At 44.8% G+C, this 25,647-nt stretch overlaps 1 protein-coding gene across 4 annotated transcripts in view; it reads right to left on the bottom strand.

The window, feature by feature from the left end:
* GABBR2 (gamma-aminobutyric acid type B receptor subunit 2) overlaps positions 1-25,647 on the bottom strand; it is a 420,827-nt gene that overhangs the window by 180,136 nt on the left and 215,044 nt on the right. For 3 of the 4 annotated variants that reach the window (NM_005458.8, XM_017015331.3, XM_005252316.6), the window contains 2 exons: positions 12,688-12,753; positions 4,902-5,102 (listed from right to left, as the gene is read on the bottom strand). In NM_005458.8, the coding sequence (NP_005449.5) occupies positions 4,902-5,102; positions 12,688-12,753 (267 nt within the window). Of the gene's footprint in view, positions 1-4,901; positions 5,103-12,687; positions 12,754-18,914; positions 19,093-25,647 lie in introns of those variants that run through there. The other variant, XM_017015332.3, reaches the window with a different exon arrangement.

The following is a 25,647-nucleotide window of genomic DNA, read 5'->3' on the forward strand; positions in this document are numbered from 1 at the left end:
GCTGGGGACAGCTGGATGCTAGAGACAGGCATACAAAGGAGGGAACCTTGGAGAATGCATCCAGGAGGTGCCACTGTTCTGCCCTTTTCTGTGACTTTGTCTATCGGGAGTCAGCTGTATCCTGGGAGATCTGACAAGAGCAAGTACAAGAGGACAGGGGTTTGACAAATACAACCTGTGCAGGGCTGTGCTAGGATGAAGTGAATAAAGCACTAATTTCAGGTACAAAATTTAAAGGGGAGCCAAAATATCTCAGTAATTAAGATAAGCATATTTTAGTGTCATGTTTAAAAAATAAAAACTAATGCAAGAAACCCATGATGAACATAACATCAAAAATTTAAATACAGAATCCAACCTTGCACTTGCATGACTTAACATCATAACCATGTCACAGAGCTTGCTGTAATAACTCCACACCATAGTTACACAAAGTTAGAGAACTGAGCTGTGAAAGCACCCTAGAAGTTACCTAGCCCAGGGAGAGAATGTGACTTGCTGAGGTTGCAGATTAAGTGGTGTGAACGCAGGATCCACACCGGATCTCTGGAGTACCACACTCTGTGCTCCTGTGTGTCACGTAACAACAGAGGCCCACTGAGATGCCACAAAAGAGCTGATTTGGATGTGTCCCTAAGCACGTCACAGGTCTAGAGGAGCAGCATGGCAGAGGGGAAGGGGCGCTGAGTTGGGATTAGGAGTCCTGGCTTCAAGTCCTGGATCTGCCTCTACCTGCTGGATGATTGTATTAGATTTGTGGGGCTGCCAACAAGTTCCCACACACTGGGTGGCTTAAAACAACAGCAGTTTATTCTCTCACAGTTCTGGAGGCCAGAAGGCTGAAATTCAGGCATTGCCAGTTATATTGGTCCATTCTCACACTGCTATAAAGAACCACCTGAGACAGGGTAATTTATAAAGCAAAGAGGTTCAATTGACTCACAGTTCTGTATTGCTGAGGAGGCCTCAGGAAACTTACAATCACAGTGGAAGGGAAAGTAAGAACCTTCTTCACAAGGCAGAAGGAAAGAGAGAGAGAGTGAAGGGGGAAGTGTCACACACATTCAAACAACCAGATCTCGTGAGAACTCATTCACTATCACAAGAACAGCAAAGGGGAAATGGCCCCCATGATTCAATCATCTCCCACCAGGTCCCTCCCCTGACACATAGGTAATCCAGGAAATCTCATCATGAGAGCCTGGGTGGAGACACAGAGCCAAACCCCATCATGAGGGTTGGCTCCTTCTGGAAGCTCTAAGAGAGATCCCTCCACTCCATGCCTCTCTCCTAAACTCTCCCTCTGCCTTTCTCTCATACAGGACACCTGTCGTTGGTTTAGGGCCTACCTGGGTAATCCAGGAAATCTTATCCTGAGAGCCTTAAGTTAATTACACCTGCAAAACCCCCCTTTTCCAAACAAGGTCACACTCCCAAGTTCCAAGGGTTACAATGTGGATATATCTTTTTAGGGGCCACTATTCAACCCACTTTCGTGATCTTGGGATGTCCCTTCCCCTCTCTGGCTCTTAGGTTTTCCATTTGTACAATAGTGAGGATGACAAGAGCCCATTCACTTGCTGTGGTTTTACAAGTGTTTGCTTGTTTTCATGGACATCGATGGATCCCAAAATACAGGCATCAATCCAGCAGCCAGTGCCATGCTGACCGTGGCCCCAAGCAGCTATATAGAACGCAAATTCAAATTCAAGAAACATTTCCTGACTCTCTAGAACTATGTTTGACCATAGACTTCTGAAGGCTGTTCGGAGAAGTTGGCTTGTGGTCAGACCATAAATAGGAATACTTTATTCAACTCTGGGCCCCACACCCTCTAGAGAGAATGTTCAACAAAGGCAAGTGCAACAAAGGAACAGGCTGAGCATGGGGAGGGGTTTGATAAATACAACCTGTGCAGGGCTGTACTAGGTGAATAAAGCACTACTTTCAGGTGCAAAATTTAAGGGAGAGTCAAAAAATCTTGGTAATTGTGTTAGTCCATTTTCATGCTGCTGATAAAGACATACCTGAGACTGGGCAATGTACAAAAGAAAGAGGTTTATTGGACTCACAGTTCCAGGTGGCTGAGGAAGCCTCACAATCATGGCAGAAGGTGAAAGGCACATCTCACATGGTGGCAGACAAGAGAAAGGATGAGAGCCAAGCAAAATGAATTTCCCCTTATCAAACAATCAGATCTCGTGAAACTTATTCTCTACCACAAGAACAGTGTGGGGGAAACTGTCCCCATGATTCAATTATCTCCCACCGGGTCCCTCCCACAACACATGGGAATTATGGGAGTACAATTCAAGACAAGATTTGGGTGGGGACGCAGAGCTAAACCCTATCAGTAATCAAGATAAAAATATTTTAATATTTTAAAAATAAAAATGAATGCAAGAAATCCATGATGAACAAAACATCGGAATTTAAATAAAGATAGAATCCAACCTTGCACTGGCATGACTCACCTCACTTTCCTCACCCTAATCCCTGTCCTGTGAATCTGGTCTTTATTTAAAATTTTGACAATTTGTTCATCATGGGGTTTTTTTTTTGGCATTATTTTAATTGCATTAACATATTTTGTTTAATCTTGATTACCGATGTATCTGGCACCCTTTTAAATTTCAGGCTTAGTCCCAGCCCTGGACCTGTGAGCTAACAATTGGAAGGACTAGCGCTGTTTAGTTTGGAGAAGCAGTGACTCTGTGGTCACTGAAGGACTATGTGGGACAGATGGGTCAATAGGATCTGAGTAGCTCCAGTGGGACCTAGGGGTGGCAGAATTAAAGGAGAGAATTCCTTTGCTACTGGAAGATCTGAGAATCTGATGGGAAGCTGGACTCCATAATGTCTAAGAGCAGCTCTGGGACCCTCTGATTCCAAGAAGCGAAGAGGCTTCAAATTTCCTTGTGTAACTTTAACAATCTCGTAACTGTGGGGTAATGTAAGAAATGCTTCCTCTTGCTTCAAAGACCATGCGGACAGGGATTGGGTCTCCTGGACTTTTGGAAGCCACCTCAATGGTCCTGTCCCCTCCAGGGGGTGGGCTTATGAGTGGGTTTTCCAAAACTGTGAGGTGAACAGTCCCAAGGTGTCCCATGCATGAGACAGTGATGGGCAAGAGGTCAGCCTCTTCACCAATCCCGAATAAGAAAATTTAGAAAAGGGAAGTCAGTGATCTGGGGGATGTTGTTACAAATGCCAAAACATTTCCTCCCAAATACACTACAAAAAATGATCTTCCTACAATGCACTCTCGTGTACTGCTCACAGCCCTGCACACAGCCCTGCATGGCTCCCACCCTGGCTGAAAGCCACACCCTTAGAACTATATCCGAGGGAGGTCCTTCCTGTAGTGTCTCATGGCTCTCATCCTGACAGCCTCACAGATCTCCTGTGCAACCATTTAAGTCTTTGGTCTTCCTGAAGCCTCTCCATTTAGTTACTGTACCATCTGCTTTCATGGATATTTTTTTCCCTTAGGTTTTGTGTTTTCCTCAATTTTTATGATATTTTTAGATTAAAATACAGGGTATCCCTGGACCCAAGGATCTTAATAAATTGCAAAATTTGACACCTTTAAAAATAACACTTACTGAATAAATGAGTTATTTCTGCTCATTATTCAACATCTCAAAAAAATGTTATATATGCATTGATTTTGGTATGAAAATATTTCTTTCAACATTTTCTAACCAGGTGCCAGTACGAGCTAAAGAGCTGTTTACAAAATATGTCCTAATGATTTGCCATTTCTTGACAAATCGATAAATCATTCATGTAGAGTTGGTTCCAATTGAGATTAAATAATACATAAAATTATATACATATATTTTTCCTTATTATAAAGCTTTTTCTTGATATAAAATTTGGTCTGTAAGAACCCTGGGGGTTGAGTGAATAATTTAACTTCTGAACTCAGAAAAGACTTATGTGCATTGCTGTGCTGAATTTTGGCTGCTGTTCAGAATTGAGAAATGGATGTTACCACCTTTACCAGGGCTATCATCACCTGATCTTTGATAAGACTTACAATGATAGAGAATGGTGTGCTTTGGAAATACTTTTACATGTCCTATATTACTTGGTCCTCGCAATAGCCCTATGAGATAAGCAGGGCAGGAATTAGTAACACTCCTCATGGAAGCATGCAGAGGCCCTGAGGCTGACACACCCTGTCCAAGGTCCTGCTCACAGTCGTGACAGCATCAAGGTGCCAGACACCATGCTAGTGGCTTGCACCACCTGCCATCAATCCTCCTGATAACCCCCAGAAGGGGGTTATCACAGATATAGAAGCAGAGATATAGAAGATATATCTATAGAAGGGACATCCTAAGATCACAACAGTATGCTGAATAGTGGCCCCTAAAAATATATATCCACACAGATATAGAAGCAGAGGCTTGGAGAACTCAGGTTCAAGGTCACACAGGTGGTAGTGGTAAAATTGGGGTTTGACGCAGTCTGGCAGCTCTACAGCATGTGTTTCCCAAAGTCTACTTAAGGCGTCTTTCCTCTCCTCCAGGAGAGCATCAACACAACTGAGAATGACATCTTAGGTAAAAGGAGCACGGGATGAACTTTTACAGAGTCTAAAGGGCCCTGAAGTTGATGCCAGGACTCTATTATTCATATATGTATACATAACATGTGTACTGTGTTATGTGCTTCACAATATCCTTACCTCATTTGGGTCTCACAGTTGCCTAGAGAGGTAAGCAGTGGAGGGTTGTACATACCACATTTTACAGGTACAAGAGGCTCAGAGAGGTCAAGTGATTTGCTCAAAGTGACACAGGACAATAAATGTGCTCTTTTGGCCAATGTCATCAGACAAGATGATCAAAGGAGGTGGGCCAGAAGGTTGAAATGGGGACCAAGGCACTGACCTTTCCTGAGATGGTCTTGATCTGCTTGGAGCTCAGGGGCTCGAAATCCACGCCAATGTAGCCCTCCATGGCAGCAAGCAGATTCTTCCGGAGGCAGCGGGATGAGTTGGCTTCCGTGTGCACCTGCTCCCACCAAGAAGGCTCGTACCAGCCCGGAATGATCCACTGATATTTACTACCATACATGTTCTCCTCGTATGCCTGTAAAAGATGGAGTGACTATGAGGGCATTGAGAGTCGCACAGTTCAAGGCTCTGTGCCCTGGAAGACAGGTGGGGAGGAAGGCTTCCTCTTCCCAGAGGATTTAGGAAATGTTTAATTACTTGTTTGGTTTCTTCCTTGCTATTTATCAAAGGATCCAAGGTAGTTTATGGATAACATGTATAATAAAATAATAAGTACTGAATAAAAATTAAAACATAAGGGCCCATAAAAATATAAATTATGTTTCCTGAAGATAGAAGGAACAGAATGTAGACAGACCAAAGGTTCTAACCATATTCATCATTAGCTGCAAATTTCACCATGAACTTCCCAGCAGCCCAAGAGAAAAGGGCAACAAGGTTATTTACACAACTCTCATTATCAATAAGGAGAAAACATACCAGATCTTTGGGGAAACAAAGTATTTTCTAGTCTCTAACCCTAAAAATGTCCCATATGGAGAGGATACTGTCAAATTAGCCAGTTTAGTATCAACACAACTTCTACAACAAAGAGATTTCATAAAGCTAATTTTTGTATAGATCTTTACTAAAAGCTGAGGCCTCATAACACAACCCAGGGGGAATAATTTTTAAGGGGCCAAGGCAATTTAATCTAAGTGTGTAGTTTATATAAGATGCCACTTGGCAAACCGAGAAGTCGCTCTGAATCTTTATCCAAAACACAGAGTGTATAAATTCAGATCCTAAAAAAATTCCCTTACATTTTTATATCTTACATGGATCTTATTTGATTGTCACTCACATTCACTCTGGGAGGTGGTTTATCATCCTCATTCTAGAGAGGAGGAAACTGAAAATCAGAGGGAAAGTAACTTTTCCAAGGTCAAACAGTCAGGGAGAAAAGTCAGGCCTGGATCTAGTTCTGCTGACTTTAAGGGTACAAAGCTACACTGCTTGCCTTCCATTTAAAGAAAAGTCATCAGAAGGTTCTAATGCACCCCTACTTGACTCTAATTCTTATTGTCATTATTTTATATCAGGAAAATCATGGTTTTTGATAGCTTTGATTCAAGCAGAAAAGTCCCAGTTTGTAGGACTGTCAGGTTCCATCAAAATTGGGTTCAGAATAAAGTTTCTAAGTGGTGGTCATGTACCCGTAAGTAAACAAAATACCCAGAAGTGACTACAGAGAGCAGGGGTGGATGGAAATTTCCTCTGTGCATTGATGGACTGCCCGCATTCTAAACTGAAACCTTAAACAATCCTTCCGTTCAATCCTGGGGAGTCACCCACATTAGGAGATGTTGGGGAACCATTCATGTCGCACCCCTTGGCCTACAGCAGGGTTAATGTGAGAGGACAGGAGGGTGTAGGGAGAGAAGCCTGAGATTGCTCTGGACCCTGGGAAGGTTCTTGCTGCCTTCCACTTAGGCTCCAGGAGGCTAAAGTGAGGGTCTGTCCACAGAAGGGAGGCCAGAGCTCCCAACAACTCCTATATGTTAGAGAAAAGTTACCATCAATTCTAACAGTCAGAGGGGCACTCTCCTCATCCCAAGTCCAGAGGCTACTCCTCTAAAACACCCTTAATACCTGAGAAAGCCCAGGCTGCAGTGTGGAGCAGCTCATTGGGGTACATGTGAGTTAAAAGATTTGTTCCTTGACTTAAGCTCAGATCCCCTCTCTGTGGTCTCCATCCATTGGTTCGGCAAGGTATCTGAAGATTAAATAGACATTGCTTAACAAAAGACCCCTTCAACTACCTCAAGGCAGTGATCACACTGTCTCTTCACTAGACTCCTTCGATGATACAGGACCTTCGCTTCCCTCATTTTAGACACTGTACTTCTCATAATGCAACCTCAGATCACAGTCATTTTTGCAGCAACTACATTACAATGTTGCCCCAAACAAAACTGTCATGGAAAATACAGAAAACTCTCGTATTTTAATTACCTAACAAAATCCCAGCTGAAGAAAAGCAGGCAGTCTCCGGGGCTTCTCTCTAATGAATGAAATTTAGTCCACAGAAACTTTAAAAAAAAAAAAGAAAAGAAAAGAAAAGAAAAGAAATGCCAGATCCTGGCTGGGGACTAGACTTTTGAATAAAAGGGTCACCCTAGTAATCCCAGGTCATTTAATCAATGGCAGAGCCTGTAAGACTTCACAACTCTCATCTTTTACTGACAGAGATCTCATGTGTATTGAGGTCCCATTATGTGTGTTGCTATTTTTATATATTATTTTATTCTCACAACTACCCTATGAGGTATGCACTATTATCTAAATTTTATAGATGAAATTTTCTCAACACATATAGCTGGTAAGTCAAAGGGACAAGACTCAAAGTCCATTCTTGAAGTTCCGCTCTTAGTAAAACAAAACAAAAGGATTTTTGGAAGTTTTCTCAATCTTATAAGGTTGTGGCAAGGAGACAGCTCCACTTATGAGGAAGTAAGAATCAGTAGATACAGAGTGGCTGGGCGCGTTGGCTCATGCCTATAGCACTTTGGGAGGCCGAGGTGGGCGGATCACTTGAGGTCAGGAGTTCAAGACCAGCCTGGCCAACATGGTGAAACCTTGTCTGTACTAAAAAATACAAAAATTAGCTGGGCATGGTGGCACATGCCTGTAATCCCAGCTACTCAGGAGGCTGAGGCAGGAGAATTGCTTGAACCTGGGAGGCAGAAGTTGCAGTGAGCTGAGATCACACCCCCGTACTCCAGCCTGAGTGACAGAGTGAGACTCTGTCTCAAAAAACAAACAAACAAACAAAAAAACTCAGAGTGAGGATATGAAAAGGCCTTCTGATCAGACACAAAGGCAGATTTTCTTCACACATGTGATAATTAAGACCATGTGGTAATTAATTAAGAGGCAGCACTGAGCAGGAAGTTCAGAGCAGAAAATCAGATCAGCTCTGACAGTTCTTCAACCAGCTACTGTCCTGTTGTAGCTGTTTCTTGTAAGTGAGTTTTCCAGAAAACAGAAGCTTATTCCATTTGAATGATAATACATTTTATTTAGAACATTAGTCAATTTTGATGAAGACAAAACTTTTTCTAACCTAGCTTCTGACTTTTTGGGGAAAAAAATAATACAGTCAAACAGCAGATTTTCTGCCACATGCCTGCCAGGTAACTCATGCACACAACTCCTGGAGCCCCACTTTTCCCATGGACAGACAGAGGAAAGCAAAGCCTGCCTCACTGTACTGGTTTAAGAATTAAATGAGATAATTTGTGTATCATGCATGGCAAACACTATGTTCAGAAACATTTTAGCTGCCCCTTCTCATTCTCTTCTCCTCTTGGTAACCCATAGTTTCATTCTGAACATAAGTCACTGTTCTGGGCTATGTTCTTGGGCTTAGAGAAGACTGCCCCAAACACCAGATGGCCCCAGACAGTTGTACTTAGACTTTGGATCCACTTTTCATGGCTTTTTGTCTCCTTTCTAGCTGTCAGTTCTACACTGTCATTTTTCACTATCATCAAGTTCCTCTGCCTCACTCTGAATTTGCTGCTTTTAAACTGCTATAGACTTGGAAAGTAGGGCGCCTAGATTGCTAAGCATATTTGTAGAGCAAAAGCAAGCAGGCTTTGAGTGAGGCTCTCCTGCAAGGGAGGTAGACTGGGCTTGGATAGATCATCCATTGTCTAATGCAACTGTGGAAATGCCTCCAGGACTCCATTGCAGTATTCCTATGGTCAGAAGGGCTGAGGTTGTTGGACACATGAGTTTTAACTAGGCACTGGTATGCTTCTCTGTCTCCTCTGCCAGTTGGGGAGTTTTGGGAGGGTGGGGCCATGCCAGTTCTCTCCTGGAGCCCCAGGGCTTTCTACAGTGCCTGGTATACAGGGGCTACTCAATCAACGGTTGTGGACCGACCGAATGAATGCATTTCTAATTTACTTGGTCACCTTGATTTTTGTTTTCTTTTTTCTTGAGACAGGGTCTGTCTCTGTCACTCAGGCTGGAATGCTGTGGCATGACCATGGGTCACTGCAGCCTCGAACTTCTGGGCTCCAGCAATCCTCCCACCTCAGCCTCCTGAGTAGCTGAGAATACAGGCAGATGATACCACGCCCAGCTAATTTTTAAATTTTTTGTAGAGATGAGGTCTTGCCATGCTGCCCAGGCTGGTCTAACTCTTGGGCTTAGGCTATCTTCCAGCCTTGGCCTCCCAAAGTGTTGGGATCACAGGCATGAGCCACCACACCTCCATTTTCTCTGCATCTGGTAGAAATGTGGTCTTAGGACCTATGACTGACAAACGGGTACTATTGCATGAGAGTGGGCCATCCTGAGTTCACACGGTTCAGCCCCATGAACCCCTTTGGTTCTTACTAGCTGTATACATGTAGCCATGACACAATTTAAAAAAAAATCTAATTTCATCATTTAATTAAGTTTCCTTTTGCCTCCTCCACTCCCCATGCAAGAAAGACGTTTCCTTTTTATATTAAGGTTTACAACAATAATAGTAATAAACCCTCGCATCAGTAAGGCAGTTAACAGTTAGGATGAAGCTTTCCCTTTGGTGGCCTCATTTAAGCCTCTCGACAACCCCATGAAGCAGACAGGGTACGGATCATTGCTTCCATTTCAGAGATGAGGCAGCTGGGGACCAGAGATGTAAAGCGACCTGATTGAGGTCACACAGCTGGCAGAGCTAAAACCAGAACCCACATTAGAGTGCTTGAGAATTTAGAACAGACCACTGAGGACAGAGGAGAAGACAAAAGCAACATGCCATGCTCATACTGTGCTGATGCCAAAATGAACATTTGCCACAGGGCTATAAATAGGCCTTGCATTTGCTGGAGTCTGCGATCCCATTGGGTGGCAGTTCCAATCTCAAGAACACAGCAACACGCTGTAAAGTTTCCAGGGCAGCATTTGGATGGCAGAGACATGGTTGTTTCCATGTGGTCTCTGCTCTGACTCCAATAGAGATCGGAAGGCTCTCTTGGGGGCCTCTGCTCTGAGCGTCCCCTCCCTCTGTCACTTATCAGTCTTGATCCAGCGTGAAAACATTGAACAGTCTCCTTAGGACCTTCTGGACCTTCCAGAAGAACTCCTTCCCAACCAGACAAGACCATAAGTCCTTGAGGGCAGATTCCATCTGGGGACCCAACACATGGACACTATACCCAGCCCAAAGCCTCTGAGAAACTCCTCGGAATGGGGCAGCAAGTGAAGACTCTAAGAGAAACCTCATCTCAAAATGCCAAAACTAACAAGAGTGAAGAGGAAAATGGGATGAGAAGGTGGGATGATGTCCCCGTACCATGTGGAAGGCAGACAAGCCAGGGGGCTTTGGGTTGAAAGGTAGACAGCCATGCCATCTGTTCAGAAGCAGAAACCATGGCTGGGAAAGCCACTTGGAAACTCACCCCAGTGCGTGGCAGAGTGAGATCACAGTCACACCTGGGCTTTGATTTGGCTTAAATCAGAACATAAGGCCCATCTATGTTTCTTGCAAACTGGAGGTGGCCAGGGTCTGGTGTGGCATCTTCATAGATCATTTTTATTAATTTATTTTTTCTGAAGTTATTTGTTTTCCTCATTCGATCAACACCAATCACCCACCATGTACCAGCTCCTTGCAAGGCCCTGGGGATACTGGAGAGGGGATACCGAGTTTCTTTTGTAAAAGAAAGCACGCTCTCAAATTTGGACCATTATTTTCCTTTTTAAAGTGGGTTATTTCTGGACCCTACGTAGTAAGCAGCAAGGTTTTATGAGTTTTGGAGTAAAATTTTTATATCTATTCACTCTATATTTTCTATTTTTCTCATGGTCCTCCTTCGATTTCAATGTGGAAAGACCTCTTGCTACTCTCCACTGATAAATAGAATGCTTAACACAATTTTGTGGAATCTACCCATAAAACTTGCCAGTAAATGGTGGCCCATTCCATCTTTGGACACCTGAGACCCTATATAAACAACCAAAAAAAGATGGCTGGTATCTGCTGAGGGTTCACTGTACATGAGGTACTATGCAGAGGGTTTTTGCTCAACAATCTTATCAGACAGGTGTTACAATCCCCATTTTACAGATGAGAAACTGGGGCTCAGAGAGTGTAAACAACATACCCAACTTCAATAATAAGTAGCAGAACAGGGACTCAAGCCCAAGCTGATTGGCTCCTGAGTGCCAGCCTCCATCCAAGATCCCCTGAAATGTCAGCCTCACAGCCTCTCCCTTCTCCCGGCTAAATCAGAAGATGATCGGACAGTTCTCGTTTTGCTCCTGAGCCTTCAGGTTCAAATAACCACACGTGACCACGGCTTGCAGCCACTACCCTATCCTCGCTGCTTGTCTCTTTTCAATTCCTACATCTGTCCAAAACAGGCCACCAGGAGCTGGGCAGGTCTCCCTAGGTGGGGTCTCTCCAGCAAAGAGCAGAGGGACTACCCTGCCCTGGGTGTAGACATGCAATTTGAGGTCACCTCGGCTCTCTGGCACTGTGCTCATGCTGATGACCTTAGTTGCCAGACCCGGTAGTAAACTGGGGGTCATCTGGAACATCCAAAGTCCCTTCTCTTCTCAACACACAGTACTCCTCAGCTATCCCTCTACCACTTGGACTTAGGCAGCTTCATTTGTTCTAATATAATATGTTAGGACCATTTACTCTGCTTGGATTTAATCAAACATTCCAACCTGTTAAAGTTCTTTGCACTCAAACTCTGTCATCCAATGTATTTCATGATTTCTAGAATTCCTATTTATAACCTCATCCACATTACTGACAAAAAGATCAGAGATCTGCGGCCCGTCACCAGACACTACGCCTAGAATGACCTCAGTCTAAAAGGTGAAGCTTATTGGGCAGACAGTGACTCACCTGCCTGGGCTTTCATTTTGTTGACTTTTCTCCTGACATGATGGGGAGGATTGGGAGCTGGGACATCAAAATGGAAACTGACTTAGTTCCTGTGTTCTGTCCCCTACATCTAACTTAAGCTAGAAGTCATATGGAGAAAACCTTTTTTTTTTAGAGACTAGATTGGGGATCAGGTTAATGGGGATGGAGCCTTGGCTCTGCCATGAATTGGCTGAGGGCCCTTGGACAAGTCCCTTTACTCTATGGAGCTCTATTTCCTCATCTGTAAAATGGGAAAATCATAGTTGCTTCACATGGTTATTGAAAAGATTAAATGAGATAAGGCATAAAAAGGTCACCTTTGTCATCTGTCACTAGACAGCTGTAAAGGATTCAGGAGGAGAAAATCAATAGTTGATAATTTGTCCCTAACCTAAGACTCTGAGCCCTACCTACAGGGCAGGGAGGGGGTCTGAGTCACTTCAGCCTCACCCTGATTTCTGGTATCTCCCTGGCTAAGTTGAGCAGACTTAGAATTAGCCAACAAGGCTTAGACTATGGGTTAGACTGAGGTCCCTGGTTCCTCGATGATGGTATTGTTCTGAGCCCTGGGGTTTTAGCTCCCTGGAAAGAGGAAAGAACAGTGAACGCAACTCTTCTGCTTCCAGGAACCCAGGCTCCAGTCCTGTGATCCCACTCACAGACTGAGCAGGGAGATAATGAGTATGGGAAAAAGCTTCGTGAACCTCCCCAAAGACACGAATGATACAACTGTTTTACTTACACAACAGAACACTTTTGCTGCCATATTCTGGTCAAACTGGCCAAGGATGATCCGCACATCATTCCCCTGTGGATGGAAGGACACATCATGAAGGTGAGTAGATGTTCAGCACCCCATAAAGGGTTCAAGGCTGTGGCAGACAACATTCCTTCACCTCTGGCTCTTAGCCCAGAGCTCTGCCTGGGAAGGTGGGCAGGGCAGAACCTCACCCCCAACCCCAGCCCAGCCTGGATTCTCTAGCCCTCTCCAGGGCTGGCTTTCCTGTGGCTCCTGCAGTCAGTCCACCCTGGTCTCATGGGCAAGCCCTAGGGCAAGTCTGTACAGGCTGGAGGCTAAAGCTGACTGCTCTCAGGGGCCTTGCAACCTCCCCTGTTCTCCTCCCACCAGGGCAGGCAAATCCTGCAGTCCATGGAAGCATCATCTAACTTTCTTCCACACTTTACATATAGGAAAACTGAGGCCAGATGAGGAGAAAGGAGCTTCTAAGGCCCCTGGGGAGTTTGTGGCAGAGACAAGACCCCAGCCAACCACACTCTGCTGCCCTGCACAGTGTTCTAGCCCTTTCTACCTTCCTGATAGTTAATCCCTCAAGAAATTCCTGGAGCCTACAGAGCTTCCCAATTAAGAGGTTTCAGACTTGCTTTGAGCTTTGTTCGCATCTCAGCTCTACCAACAAACCATGGGTGGCCTCTGGTCGCTCCTTTTCCATCTCAGCCCCAGTTTCCTCATCTGCAAAATGAGGATAATGGTAGTACGTTCCTTACCGGATTTCTGGGAAGACTAAGTGAAATAGTCCTTGTAAAGTGCTTAACACAGTGCCTAGCACATAGTGAGTGTCCACCTTTATTTCTAAGGAAAATCTATTTTTGAAAGCTCTATACATGGGATTACATTCATTATCTCAGTGTGGTTAATAGGAATGTGTACAGTGACCCCTGTGACTCATTCATTCATTCAACAGACAATTACTGAGCATCAGCCAGAGGCTCTCATGGGTCAGGTAAATGGGGTCTTTGTTGCTTTCTGGGGCATTGGGATCCAGCTGCGTCCTGTCCCATGGAGAAGAACAGGCTGAAAGAGAACGGGTGGGGCGGCCACCAGGAGACCAGCCAGGCCCTGGCCCAAACACCTGCTCCCCATCCCAGCCGCTTCCTGCCCTCCACAGTGAGGCCCAGCCTTGCAGGTGGTGCCACCTTCCTGCAGTTCATCCATCCCCTCCAGCAGGCCTCATGGCCCTTTGATGCATAAAGTAGAAAAATATGCTTTTAAAGATCAGTTTTTAGCATCTTTCAAAATTGGAAAGTGCTGACTGAGAGGCCATTTTACTCATCATGTACTTTAGCAAAATAAAGAAGGCCTGGATTCTAAAATCATCTTTCGTTTGCAAGCAAGAATGGAAAGAAGAGGGGAAAAAAAACACTGGCTCTGAAAGGACTTTAAAAGATCGTTAACAGAGCAGTGGAAGGAAGGCAAGCCTTTGTCATCACCACGTCTGCAATGCTATAAAAAGTTCTAAGCTGCTTCCGTTCTGTGGACTTGCTTCCAGGCATGCTCCAAGATCTTTCTGCTTGTTCGTTAAAAATTTTTAGCATTTTTTGCTGCTGACAGTACCCATGCATCCATCCATCCTTTCATCCAGCAAGTATCTATTGATCATCTACTTTGTGCCAAACCCTGTGTTGCTAAACATGGTATGGTAAAAACAGCTTATTAGATTTTGAAGTCAGAGACCTGGGTTCAAATCACAGCTCCACCTCTGATTAGCTGAAAACTTTGCTTCTTAATCTCCTGGAGCCTCAATTCCTTCATCTCTGAGAAAGGGATAATCCTATCTACCTTGCCCAGTGGTTGTCAATTCATCATAATGAAACTCACCCGGTGGCTTCCATGCTGCTCTCTGCTGGCTCCCCTCGTGCCTGCCTGGCCACTCCTGCTCATACTCCTCATCATCAGCTCCTGACCTTTCTGCCCATCCCTAAATGCTGGTGTTCTGTCCTTAGCTCTTTGCTCCCATCACTCTCCCTGGGCCACCTAGTTCATGACCCCAGCCACAACTGTTCTCTGTGTGCTGTGGACTCCAAATCTCTCCCCCCAGCCTCAGATTTTCTCCAGTTTCCCACCAGACTCTTCCAGTTGGATTCTCTCAGGCACCTCCAGCGCAACATGTCCCAAGCTGAATCCACCAGCTTTCCCAAGAGGCCCTTTCCTCCTCCTGTGTTTTCCATTTCTGACAATGTCAGGAACTTGGGAGTCATCTTAGACTCACTCCTCTTCTTCAACCCTCATCCAAGCCATAACTGGAATCTGTTGGTTCTGTCTGCTCACAACTAGCTCCTTAATCAGTCCCAACCCTCCAGCCCCACTGCCCTGAGTTTGGTTACCATCATTCCTTACTCAGTGAACAGCAACAGCCTCCCTGCACCCTTGCCATGAATCCTGCCCCATCCACCCATCGCCACAGAGCAGAGGAAGGGTTCATTCCTAGATTCAAGTCTGATTGTGTGAAATCTGTCCATGGCTTCCTGAGGTTTGCAGATCAAACACTGAGCTCCTTAGCACATTCAAGATGTGCTAAAGATAGAGATGGTAAAGATCCTATGCAGTCTTTACCAACTGACTTGTGCTCAATTCTCTATCACATTTCTCATACCCTGCCTTGGCAGTGAGTCCTAAAACAGGACTGCATTCATTCATTCATTTATTCATATTCCCACTTCGCCCCCCACCCATTCTGCAAGTCTATCCCTCCAGAGTGCCCTTCCCTCTCCTCCCACTTACTTTGCCCGCACAGCTGCTACTCACCCTTCCTACCTTAGCCCAGGCTCCTCTGTTCTGAGAAACCATCTCTCTGCCCCATCAGGCTTGGTGGCCACTTCTTCCTCTGTGAGCCTGGATCACCCTGTGCTTGCCTCCAATGTGGCTCAAGTCCACTTACTTGTCTGTCTTCCCCACTGAAGTAAGCGTAACTTGACTTATCTCTAAGTCCCCAGCTCCCAGAACAGGGCGCTACACATATGTCAACAAATATGTGTTGAATGCACGATGAAGTGAATTAATCCAGTGTGCAGCATCACGCACAATGCCTGGCCTACGCTGCTTATTTGGTCACTAGTAGCCATTATCATCACTGCACTAATATCTGACCAACCCCATGGTCTAGACCCTGGGCTCACCATGTCCACTTCTTGAGTAGATCGAGGGACCCACATCTTCATAGCTGACCTCCTGACCACCTGCTGACAGTTAAATAACCAGCTCTGCCACTTGTGAACCATTTGGTGTCTTTGTTGCTATGACAACCGAGTTGCAAGGACCACTTTGTTCAGTGCTCCCAGGCTGTTAGATTTGGATGGGGCCCGTGGGATCCCCCATCTAGCTAATCTCTTCCCAGAGAGGTACAAGCTCTCCCAGGGCTCCACAGAACCAAAATGAAAGCCAGAGCTCTCACTTTGGTTCTCCTTGACCATTAGAGGGCCCTGGAGACAGATCCTATGCAGAGCCAGGTCATGCCTGCTGCAGGAAGCTGTGAACACATACTCTGCTTCTAGACGGTGAGAAAGAGGGGGAAAGACGCTGCCAAGTCTGGAAGGAAGGAGGAGCAGCCCGGAATCCAGGGTTGGGGAGAGGCCAAACGGGGGATGAGGCTGGATGGGGATCTTGGGGGGCACCATAGAGCAGTATAAACAGTTTGAGGTGCTTCTCAAACTAGGGTATGTGCATTCTAGAGCACGAGGAGGTGTCCCGAGTGTAGGAAGTGCAGATATACTGCGTTCTCCTTTCTAAAGTAGCAACTTACTGGAAGATTCAGGGGTTAGGGGAAAGGTTTTGGATTTGGGGAATCTTAATAGTTTTTCCACACATGTGCATGCTCTCATGAAAGTTCCAGAATCATGCTTTTCAATGTTGCATAGCTTGTATCTTTTCCTGAAAGTCCAGAGAGTAGAAAGAAGAAATTTGGGAATAGCAGTAGCCCCTGCTTTCAGACAAGCCCCCTGCCTCCCTGCCAGGGTATGGGCCCATTCTCTTATGCTGAAAGGGCTTGGGGCAGTTTAGGCAGTAGTAGGGGGTAGGGAGGGGCAGCCATAACCATCCCTGAGGATGACAGTGACAGATCAGAGCTGTGATATCACAAAGGACTGGAAACGTGGCAGAGGGCAGGGTCTGGAAAATCCTGTGCCCTTCCAGGGACTTGGCTCTGCAGGGAGCTTCCTGGAGTGAAAGCAGATGACCTGAGTTGGGGCAAATGAGATGGCCAGGTCTAGGGTTGGAGACCATACATGGAGACCTATGTTCACACCCTCAAGAGGCTACTATCACAAGAAAGGGGCAAAAGTGGAAGGAAACAGCGGTGGGAATGGGGTAGGAAAATGGGGAGGGGTATTCAGCCCAAACCCCCAACAGTGACAGGATGAGTGAGGGAGAGGCCCACTAAACTCCCTCTGGAGAGGAGTCTAATGTTGCCAAACCCTGGGTAGCTTTCCTTTTCTTTTTCTTGACCCTGTCTCATCCCTCATCTAGAACCACTTTGTCTCTGGGATGCTTAAAGAGAGCTAAACACACATACACACACGCAGGCACACACACACACAGGCACGCACACACACTCACGCACGCACATGACACTTAGCAAGGATAACCCAATTCAAAGAACTAGCATGTACCCCCAGTTTGCAAGCAATCCTAACATCATAAAAATAACAACTCTCAAGCCCTTTCTGAGCTGTTGTGCTAAACAGTCCGTCAGCCCCACCCTGGGAGGTGGGCGCTGTTATTATGCTCACTTTGGAAAGATTCATGAGCAAAGCAAGGTCCAAAGAATTAAGCAAACTTCCCAGGTGCAGTCCCCTCCTTGGGGCTGGTACACCCGCCCGGCTGCAGTGAGGGTGGGCTGCTGACAGCTCACTCCCTTCTCTGGAGAACTGCCCTCAGCTAAGGGGAGCTTCCTGGCCATGGGAGCCACTCCATGCCCCACACCCCACAGAGAGCAACCAACAACTGACTCACATTGGTGGAAAACTCCGGCCCCCCTGCTGAAAGTTAGGATCAGCTCTGTGGTGCTGTCTGTGCTCCGGAGACCCCTGTGGGGCCAGGCTAAACTGGTATCCATCCAAGACAGAGCTCCTCCTGCCTCATCCTGCTTCCCTCCCCTTCTCCTGAGTACTTCCACAATAAATTACTTTCCCAAGCATCTCAGGCTCTGTTTGTAGGGACTTCAACCTAAGATGCCAGGTCACACAAATAGGAGGTGGTGGCACTGGCCTTGCCCCGGGTGGGTGTGGTCCCAGAGCCTGAGTGCTTGACTCCTCGCTCCTATCTACCGCCTCCCAGTTGAGGATGCAAACCCCACTGGGTCTGAGCTGCTGGAGCTCAGCACTCAATCTGCAGCAACAGCTAACTGAGAAAAGTCATGCAGATGTTGAAGTGAAAGGATATAAATGGCAAATGCAATCCTGAGCCACTGAAATTGCTGGTGTGCATTTAAGAGTGCAGGACAGCAGAGGTGAGGAAGATGAGGGACCACGCCCTCCAGCCAGCCTTCCTTGCCTGTGGAGCATGGACTCTTGCAAGGAAGGTCAAGCTCGACCCTGAGCCTGACCCTGACCTCTGGGTTGTCTGGAATCTCCTGCCACCCATGCATCTGTCTAGGTCCACTCAATGGCATCCTGGTTTCTCAGAGCCTAGCCTCGCAGACTACCTACTGTGCTGGGCTGCTGAAAATTCAAATGTCACAATGCTATATAAAGAGAGGAGATGCTATAAACCCCTAAGGCAGCTGAGCTGTTAGAGGCTGGCCATGACCTGGGCCAGCGGGCACTGCCTAAGGCTTCGGAAGCCCAGGCCAGTCCTGTGCCCCAACTGTCTGGCTGTAGACTTGGAGTGGGCCCTAGAAGTTCAGCCTAGAATGTTCTCCAAAGTCCCTCCTGGCTCTGACAAACTGATCCCATACCCACAATGAGTAGTCCCTTTTATTTAGCTAAAATTTGTCTTACTTAGACCCCACCCCCCACTGGAAATGTCCATAAAGGCAGAGAAGCATATGCTTCACTCTGTCCGTAAAGGCAGTGAAGGCATACGCTTCACTCTCAAGGAAGGGAGCGAAGAGGGAATAGCCCACAGCAGCCCAGTGGAAAGCATGGCATTTCTTTAAAGTTTATTCTTGTATCTTGAAAATTCATGTATATTTAACACTCTAATAATATATCTATGTCGTAAGTTAAAAATAATACCTTTTCGTCTCCATGTCTCTGAGCAAACCTGGCCTGTGAGAAAGATGCACCATGTGTATTCTGCAGCTTTGCGTCCCCTTGGGGTGCCTGTATGAACTTCAGTTTCAGGCAGTCAGGATGGACTCCTGGCCTGTGGGAGTGGCAGTTCTCATCAGGTCTCTCCTATCTGGTTGGGAAAAAAGGGGGTCAATTCCCTAAGGACTTTTTTTTGGCCAGAGTCAAGAGGGAGAGCACAGTTCCCACTAGGACTTTACCATGGAGCAAGGGAAGGGCAGTCCTCTCAAAGCCTACCTTTGTAGTTGTCTTATGCCAGGCAGAATAATAGCCACATCCTGGCTGGGCTCAGTGGCTCATGCCTGTAATCCCAGCACATTAGGAGGCCAAGGCAGGAGAATCACTTGAGCTCAGGAGTTCAAGACCAGTCTGGGAAACGTGGAGAAACCCTGTCTCTACAAATATATATATATATATAGGCTGAGTATGGTGGTGCATGCCTGTAGTCCCAGTTACTTGGGAGGCTGAGGTGGGAGGATTGCTTGAGCCCAGGAAGTTGAGGCTGCAGTGAGCTGTGATTACACCACTACACTCCAGCCTGGGTTACAGAGTGAGACCCTGTCCCCACTCCCCCAGTCCCCCAAAAAAGGCCACATCCTAATCCCCAGAACCTGTGAGTACGTTATGTCACGTGGTAAAGGGAAAATTCACATTCCAGATGGAATTAAGGTTGTTTATCAGCTGATCTTAAAATAGGGAGATTTTCTTGGATTAGCCAGGTGATAATGTATTCACAGGGTCCTTAAATGTATTCATGTATTCACAAGGTCCTTAAACATGGCCGAGGCAGAGACAGTGATACAGTGTGGGAAAGGCTCCACTGACTATGGCTCACTTTGAAGATAGAGGAAGGGGATGCCAGCTGAGGGATGCAGGTGGCCTCTAGATACTGGAACTAGAGCCTCCAGAAGGAACTTGGCCGCACTGACACCTTGATGTTGGCCTGTCAAGATCCATGTAGGACATCTGGCTTCCAGACAGTAAGATAAATTTGTGTTGCTTGAAGCTGTTCAGATTTTCACAGCAGCAATGGGAAATGAAGACACTTCCCTCTCTGGAAAGGCCTTACCTTGGGCTTATCCTGTCTCCCTCCTCTCTCTGCTGGGGTTCTAGGACACTCAGTTGTTGCTGACTAGTCGAGTAGCTTTTCTGGTCAAAGCTGTCCCCTTAATGTGAGGCATAAGGATCCCCACTAATATTGTTGGAGAATTGGGCTATTTTTGTGAGTCACTCAAAAAAGAAAGCCAAACATGGCTCTAAATGGCACAGACATATTTTCTTTTCCTTTTTTAAGAGTAGAAAGCCTGGCTCAATTTAGAGGGTCTTCATGATGTTGCACTGGGGCCCAAATATTGCATCAATATAAAAAATAAAGATGAGAGCTTTCTGCTTATCTCTGTCTTTCTGTCATTCCCTAGCACTTTTTTTTTTAACCGCTCCTCCACTTAAGGCAAGTAAGTTGCAAAGCCCTTTCATTCCTGTTTTGTTACTAAGAAGAAATGGGGGGAGACAGGTCATTTAAAAATGTTGGGTATGAGTAACCTTGGAATGTTGAGAGGCTATGCTGACTGAGGAGTGTGGGTGGACACGAAGCTGGGAGGCATGCCGTGGAGGTTAAGAGCCAGTCTGTAGCTAGACTGCTGAGCTAGAATCTCAGCTCAGTCACTTAATCAGCTTCATGGCCTCAGGCAAGTTATTAAACTTTCGTGAGCTTCAGTTTCTCTACCTATAAAATGGGGATAATAATAGTACCTATCTTCAGAGCAGGTGGTGGCAAACAATTTCTATAAAGGTCCAGATAGTAAATATTTTTGGTCTCATAGGCCATATAGTCTCTGTTGCAATTACTCAGTTCTGCCGCTGTAGCACAAAAGCAGCCAAGGACGTTGTGGTAAATGAATGTGTTCCTATAAAACTTTATTTACAAACACAGAGAGTAGGCCGGATTTGGCCCATGAGCTGTAGTTTGCTGACTGCTATTGTAGAGTTATTGTGGGGATGAAGTGAATTCATGAATCTGTGGGCACAAAGGGAGTGCTTAAAAGTGTCCTCCTTTGATGTTGAAGCAGAAGCGTTGGATGAGGTCAGAAGAAGAGGCTGTGATAAGATGGAGAGAGAGAAGAGGAGCCCTCTGGAAAGAGGTGGCTGCTGGCACAGCGCTGACGCAGGCAAGCAAGGCTCTTGACTCCTCTGGTAAATTCACCTGCAATAGGGAAGCTCTGTGGGCCCAGAGACCCTAAATGAATTGCTCACAATCTTTCAGCTTTGCTTACTGTCTCAAAGTTTGGATTTTAGAAAGTCCTTTGTTATCATTTTAAGATATTCATTAAAAGATAGAGAGTTCCATGGCTTCTTTCCCTGAAATTCTCTAATTTTATTATTTAGTGTTTTATTATTTAGTCTTTTCTCTATTCCAGCATCTCTCAAGTTTCGAACGTAATATCAACTACTGATTTTTCAGCCCCCGAGAGAGCCCAACAGTCTGCCTACGGCGACCATCACACAATTGGGATGGCCCAGTGCCCTCTCTACAGAGGAAGACACCAAGGCAGGGACGGAGTCCAACCCCGGGTCTACTTGATTCAAAAGCCCCTGTTATGCTTGGCACAGGTGGCTCACGCCTGTAATCCAGCACTTTGGGAGGTCAAGGCGGACGGATCACCTAAGGTCAGGAGTTTGAGACCAGCCTGGCCAACATGGTAAAACACCATCTCTACTAAAAATACAAAAATTAGCCAGGCTTGGTGGAGGGCACCTGTAATCCCAGCTACTCAGGAGGCTGAGGCAGGAGAATCACTTGAACCCAGGAAGTGGAGGTTGCAGTGAGCCGAGATCGTGCCACCGCACTCCAGCCTGGGCGACAGAGCAACACACCTACACGCAAAGCCCCTGTTCTGAGTTTCTGTCTGGGATGATGAAACAGTTCTGGAAGTGGATAATGGGATGGTTGTACAACACTGTGAATGTACTTAATGCCACTGAATTGAACACTTAAAAATGGTTAAAATGGTAAATTTTATGTCACATATATTTTACTACAATAAAAAAAAAGGGTCACAACTAGAACAGCATTCCCTATACTTTCTGAGTTCTGACAAAAAAAAGGAATAAAGACTGCTGATGATTTCTGTAAAAGTAGGGCATAGGGTTCCTGATGGTGGGGGCAGGGGGCTGTGGATAGAAGGGACTTTTGGGGTATCTGATAAAGTTCTCTGACCTGTGTGCTGTTTGCCTTAGGATTCATTTAGACATTCATTTGATTTCTGTGGCTTTCAAATTGTTGTTTGATTTTACAATAAAAGATTTTCTTTAAAAGTTCCTGCTCTTTCCACAAAAATATTTGGTCTCCAGAGCACCCGGATTGAACTGAGGCAACTGCCCCTCCCATGTCAATTCCAGACATAAGGGTCTGTGGATGCCCCATGGTTGAAATAATGTACCACATATTCCTCCAACAAATGGAAATATGAATATAGGGCAGAAGGCCACTTTGGGGAAGGTGCATGAAGCAACTGAAATGTCCAGAAAGGGAAATGTGACACCTGGAACTCTCCCTATGAGTGCCCAGGACGTGGTCTCTGTGCAGAGCAGCTTCCCAGCCCCGCCTGGAAACAGCTAAACTTTAGCCACCCCCTGTTCAGAACAGGCTTGGAATGAGCTTAAAGGGCCTCGCGACTTCATCACACAGAAATGGTATTTCCTGACTTTCTTGATACAAATTTCGATACACATCTGCTAAATCAGCCTTATTAATTTCATTATTCCGTTCCTCTGTGCTCTTGCCTTTTTTTTTTTGCCTGGGTGAACTGTCCAAGAGTGAGAGAGAGATGTTATGCCTCCCAATGCTATTGTGTTTCTGTCAATTTCCGTCTCTATTTTTAACAGGCTTTTCTTTCTTTATTTCAGTGAGATGTAATTTAAAGCAATAATAGTCCGTGAGCATGTTATTCTCAAGGTGGATTGAAGCCTTATCTATAGAAAAGGACTCTCCTTAATCCTGTTTGACACCTGTATCTTGAACACGCTTTGGTCTGATATGAATACTGGGATTCTTGCTGTAGTTTGACTTGCTTGGTAGACCTTTGCTCAACCTTTTACCTTCAACCTTTCAGTGTCACTTTGTTTATCTGATGTAAATAGCTAGAGTTCGTTTTTTGAAACACAATCTGAAAGTCTCTTCCTTTTGATAATGAGTTTGGCCTATTTGAACTTCTGGTCAGAATCATTATATGTGGTCTGCACTGATCTGTTTTGTGCTTTCTGGTTTTCATGTTTGTTTTCTGTTTCGAAACATGGATGAGATTTCCTTTGTTTTATTTTTGTGTTTCTGCAGCTTCAGGTTCTGTTTGCATTATGGTATATTTACCACTGAGTCATTCAAAGCATTCTTTAGCTTATATCTACCTAATTATGAAACTCATGAGCAAAATGGTCTCTTTTGAGTCCCTCTCCTAGTTAACACCAGGAGTTAAGCACCCTTCTTTTAAAAAATTCATCTCTTCTTAGGCCTGTGAAGGTAATTTGGATTTTTATATCTCAATTATGCCTATTGCCGTATCTATTTTTGCATTATGTATAAAATTATATGTAATTTTTGCATCTGCATACACTTTTATAACAATTATTTAGACTTTGCTTTCCTTCCATGGGTTCCAATGATCCCTGCTCAGCCGTTTCTGTCATGACCTCAGCTGTAAAGTATGCCATCGCTTTTGGCTGGTTGACATCAGACTTCAGGATTAGCTTCAAGAAGGGGACCTGGCTGGAACATCGTGTGAGCCCCATACAGTGCAGAATACCTCCCAGTTGCTCCACTGTCTCTGGGATTTAATGCTTCAGAGGAGTCAGAGAGTGGCCTGGTTTTTGCATCTCTATGGGAAGTTTGTTTTTTTCCTGGCCTAGATATTTGTAAGATTTTCTCCACTAAGTATGTCAAAATTTTGGCAAAACCTGTCTAAGTATGACTCTCTTTTCACCAGTTATGCTAGAATGCAGAAGCTGGCTAGTTTGCTCATATAGTCTGTACATTTCCATATAAAATTGTTGTAGTTCAAAAACTGTAGAATAATGGAAATTTTGTATGGCCCAATCTACAGTACTAGGTCTGTCTTGAGCCCGCTTAAGTTTGTTTCCTAGTAAAAAAAAAAAAAAAAAAAAAAAAAAAATTCTTATTTGAAAACAGAAAAATTGTGGAGACTATATACAGAGTTCCCATACAACCCCTCATCCAGTTTTCCCTATTATTAATGTTTTATATTAGTATTTTGTGCATTTGTCACAATGAATAAATATTGATGTTATTATTAGCTAACACCCATTCTTTAATCAGATTTCCTTAGTCTTTTTCTCAAACATCCTTTTTCTATTCCTGGATCCCATCTAGAATATACCACATTATATTCAATTGTCATGCCTCCTTCAGCTCCTTTTGGCTAAGGCTTTCTCTATTTTTGATGAACTAGACAGTTTGGGGGAGTATTGGTCAGGTATTTTGTAGGATGGCCTTCAACTGTAATTTGTCTGATGTTTTTCTCATGGTTAGACTGGGGTTATGGGATTTGGGGAAGAAGACCACAGAGGTAAAGTTATTCCCATCATATCATGTCAAGGGAGCTTTCAATGTGACTTATCACTGCTGATGTTGACCTTGATTGCCTCGCTAAGGGAACGTTTGTCAGGTTTCTCGACCGTCAAGTTATTCTTTTTTATCCCCCCTTCTCCTACTGTACCCTTTGGAAGGAAGTAACTTAAGAAGTGTGTAGTTATGACCTACCTCTTTGGAGTGTGAAGTATCTATGTAAGTTATTTTGAATTCTTCTGTGTAGGAGGTTTGCCTATATTCTCCCATTTATTAGTCAATCATTTACATAATAGTAAACTTGTGGAGATTTATTTTATACTTTGGGTTATATTCTAATACTACTTTAATTTTTTGTGTTCAAATTGTTCCAGCTTTGGCCATTGGGAGCTCTTTCAATTGGCAACTGTACTCCCTTGATACAGCCCCACCAGTATGTGTGTTATTCCTTACCTTCTGGTATTACAAAATACTCCAGAATCATCTTGTCTATTTCCTGCCCCATAGAACCAGCCATTTGTCTAAGGAGCCCTGGTTCCTTTTACTGGAGAATGGTGTTAGGAACCAAAATCTGGGTGTTAGGTGTGCTCATTGCTACTGTTTCTACTGTTTTGGATTTTGATTCTGTTTCTTTTGTCCTGGTTTTCCCTTAGGAAAACTCCCTTCTCCAGTATCCACAACTGTTATCCTTTATCTCACTGGATTGATCTATTTGGCGATTTCCTCTGAATTCTGGGAAAGTATCTCAAGTTTGCCCTCCACCTTACTGATTTTTATATTTCTCGGCTTTAATTCTGCTCTCTACTACCTCCAATGCAGACTCCAGTTCTACTATTTGATATCTGGTTTTCTTGTCTGTCCTCTGTACCTCCTTCTCCATCTTATCCCACAATAAATCAGAAACTTGCTTTTCCTCTGAGATTTCCAAAAGTAACTACCTTCCCGTTGTTCCTGAGTATTATGTCCTTGTAGCCTCTGTTGCACTTTGTCCAGACTTGGTATTTCATTCACACACACTCAACAAATTGTTGAGCAAATTACGTTGGGTTTTAGGTGATGGGAAACAGAAGAGTGACCAAGACAGACAGAAATTTCTGCTTC

Source organism: Homo sapiens, chromosome 9 (assembly GCF_000001405.40).
Source record: "Homo sapiens chromosome 9, GRCh38.p14 Primary Assembly".
Classification (NCBI taxonomy): domain Eukaryota; kingdom Metazoa; phylum Chordata; class Mammalia; order Primates; family Hominidae; genus Homo; species Homo sapiens.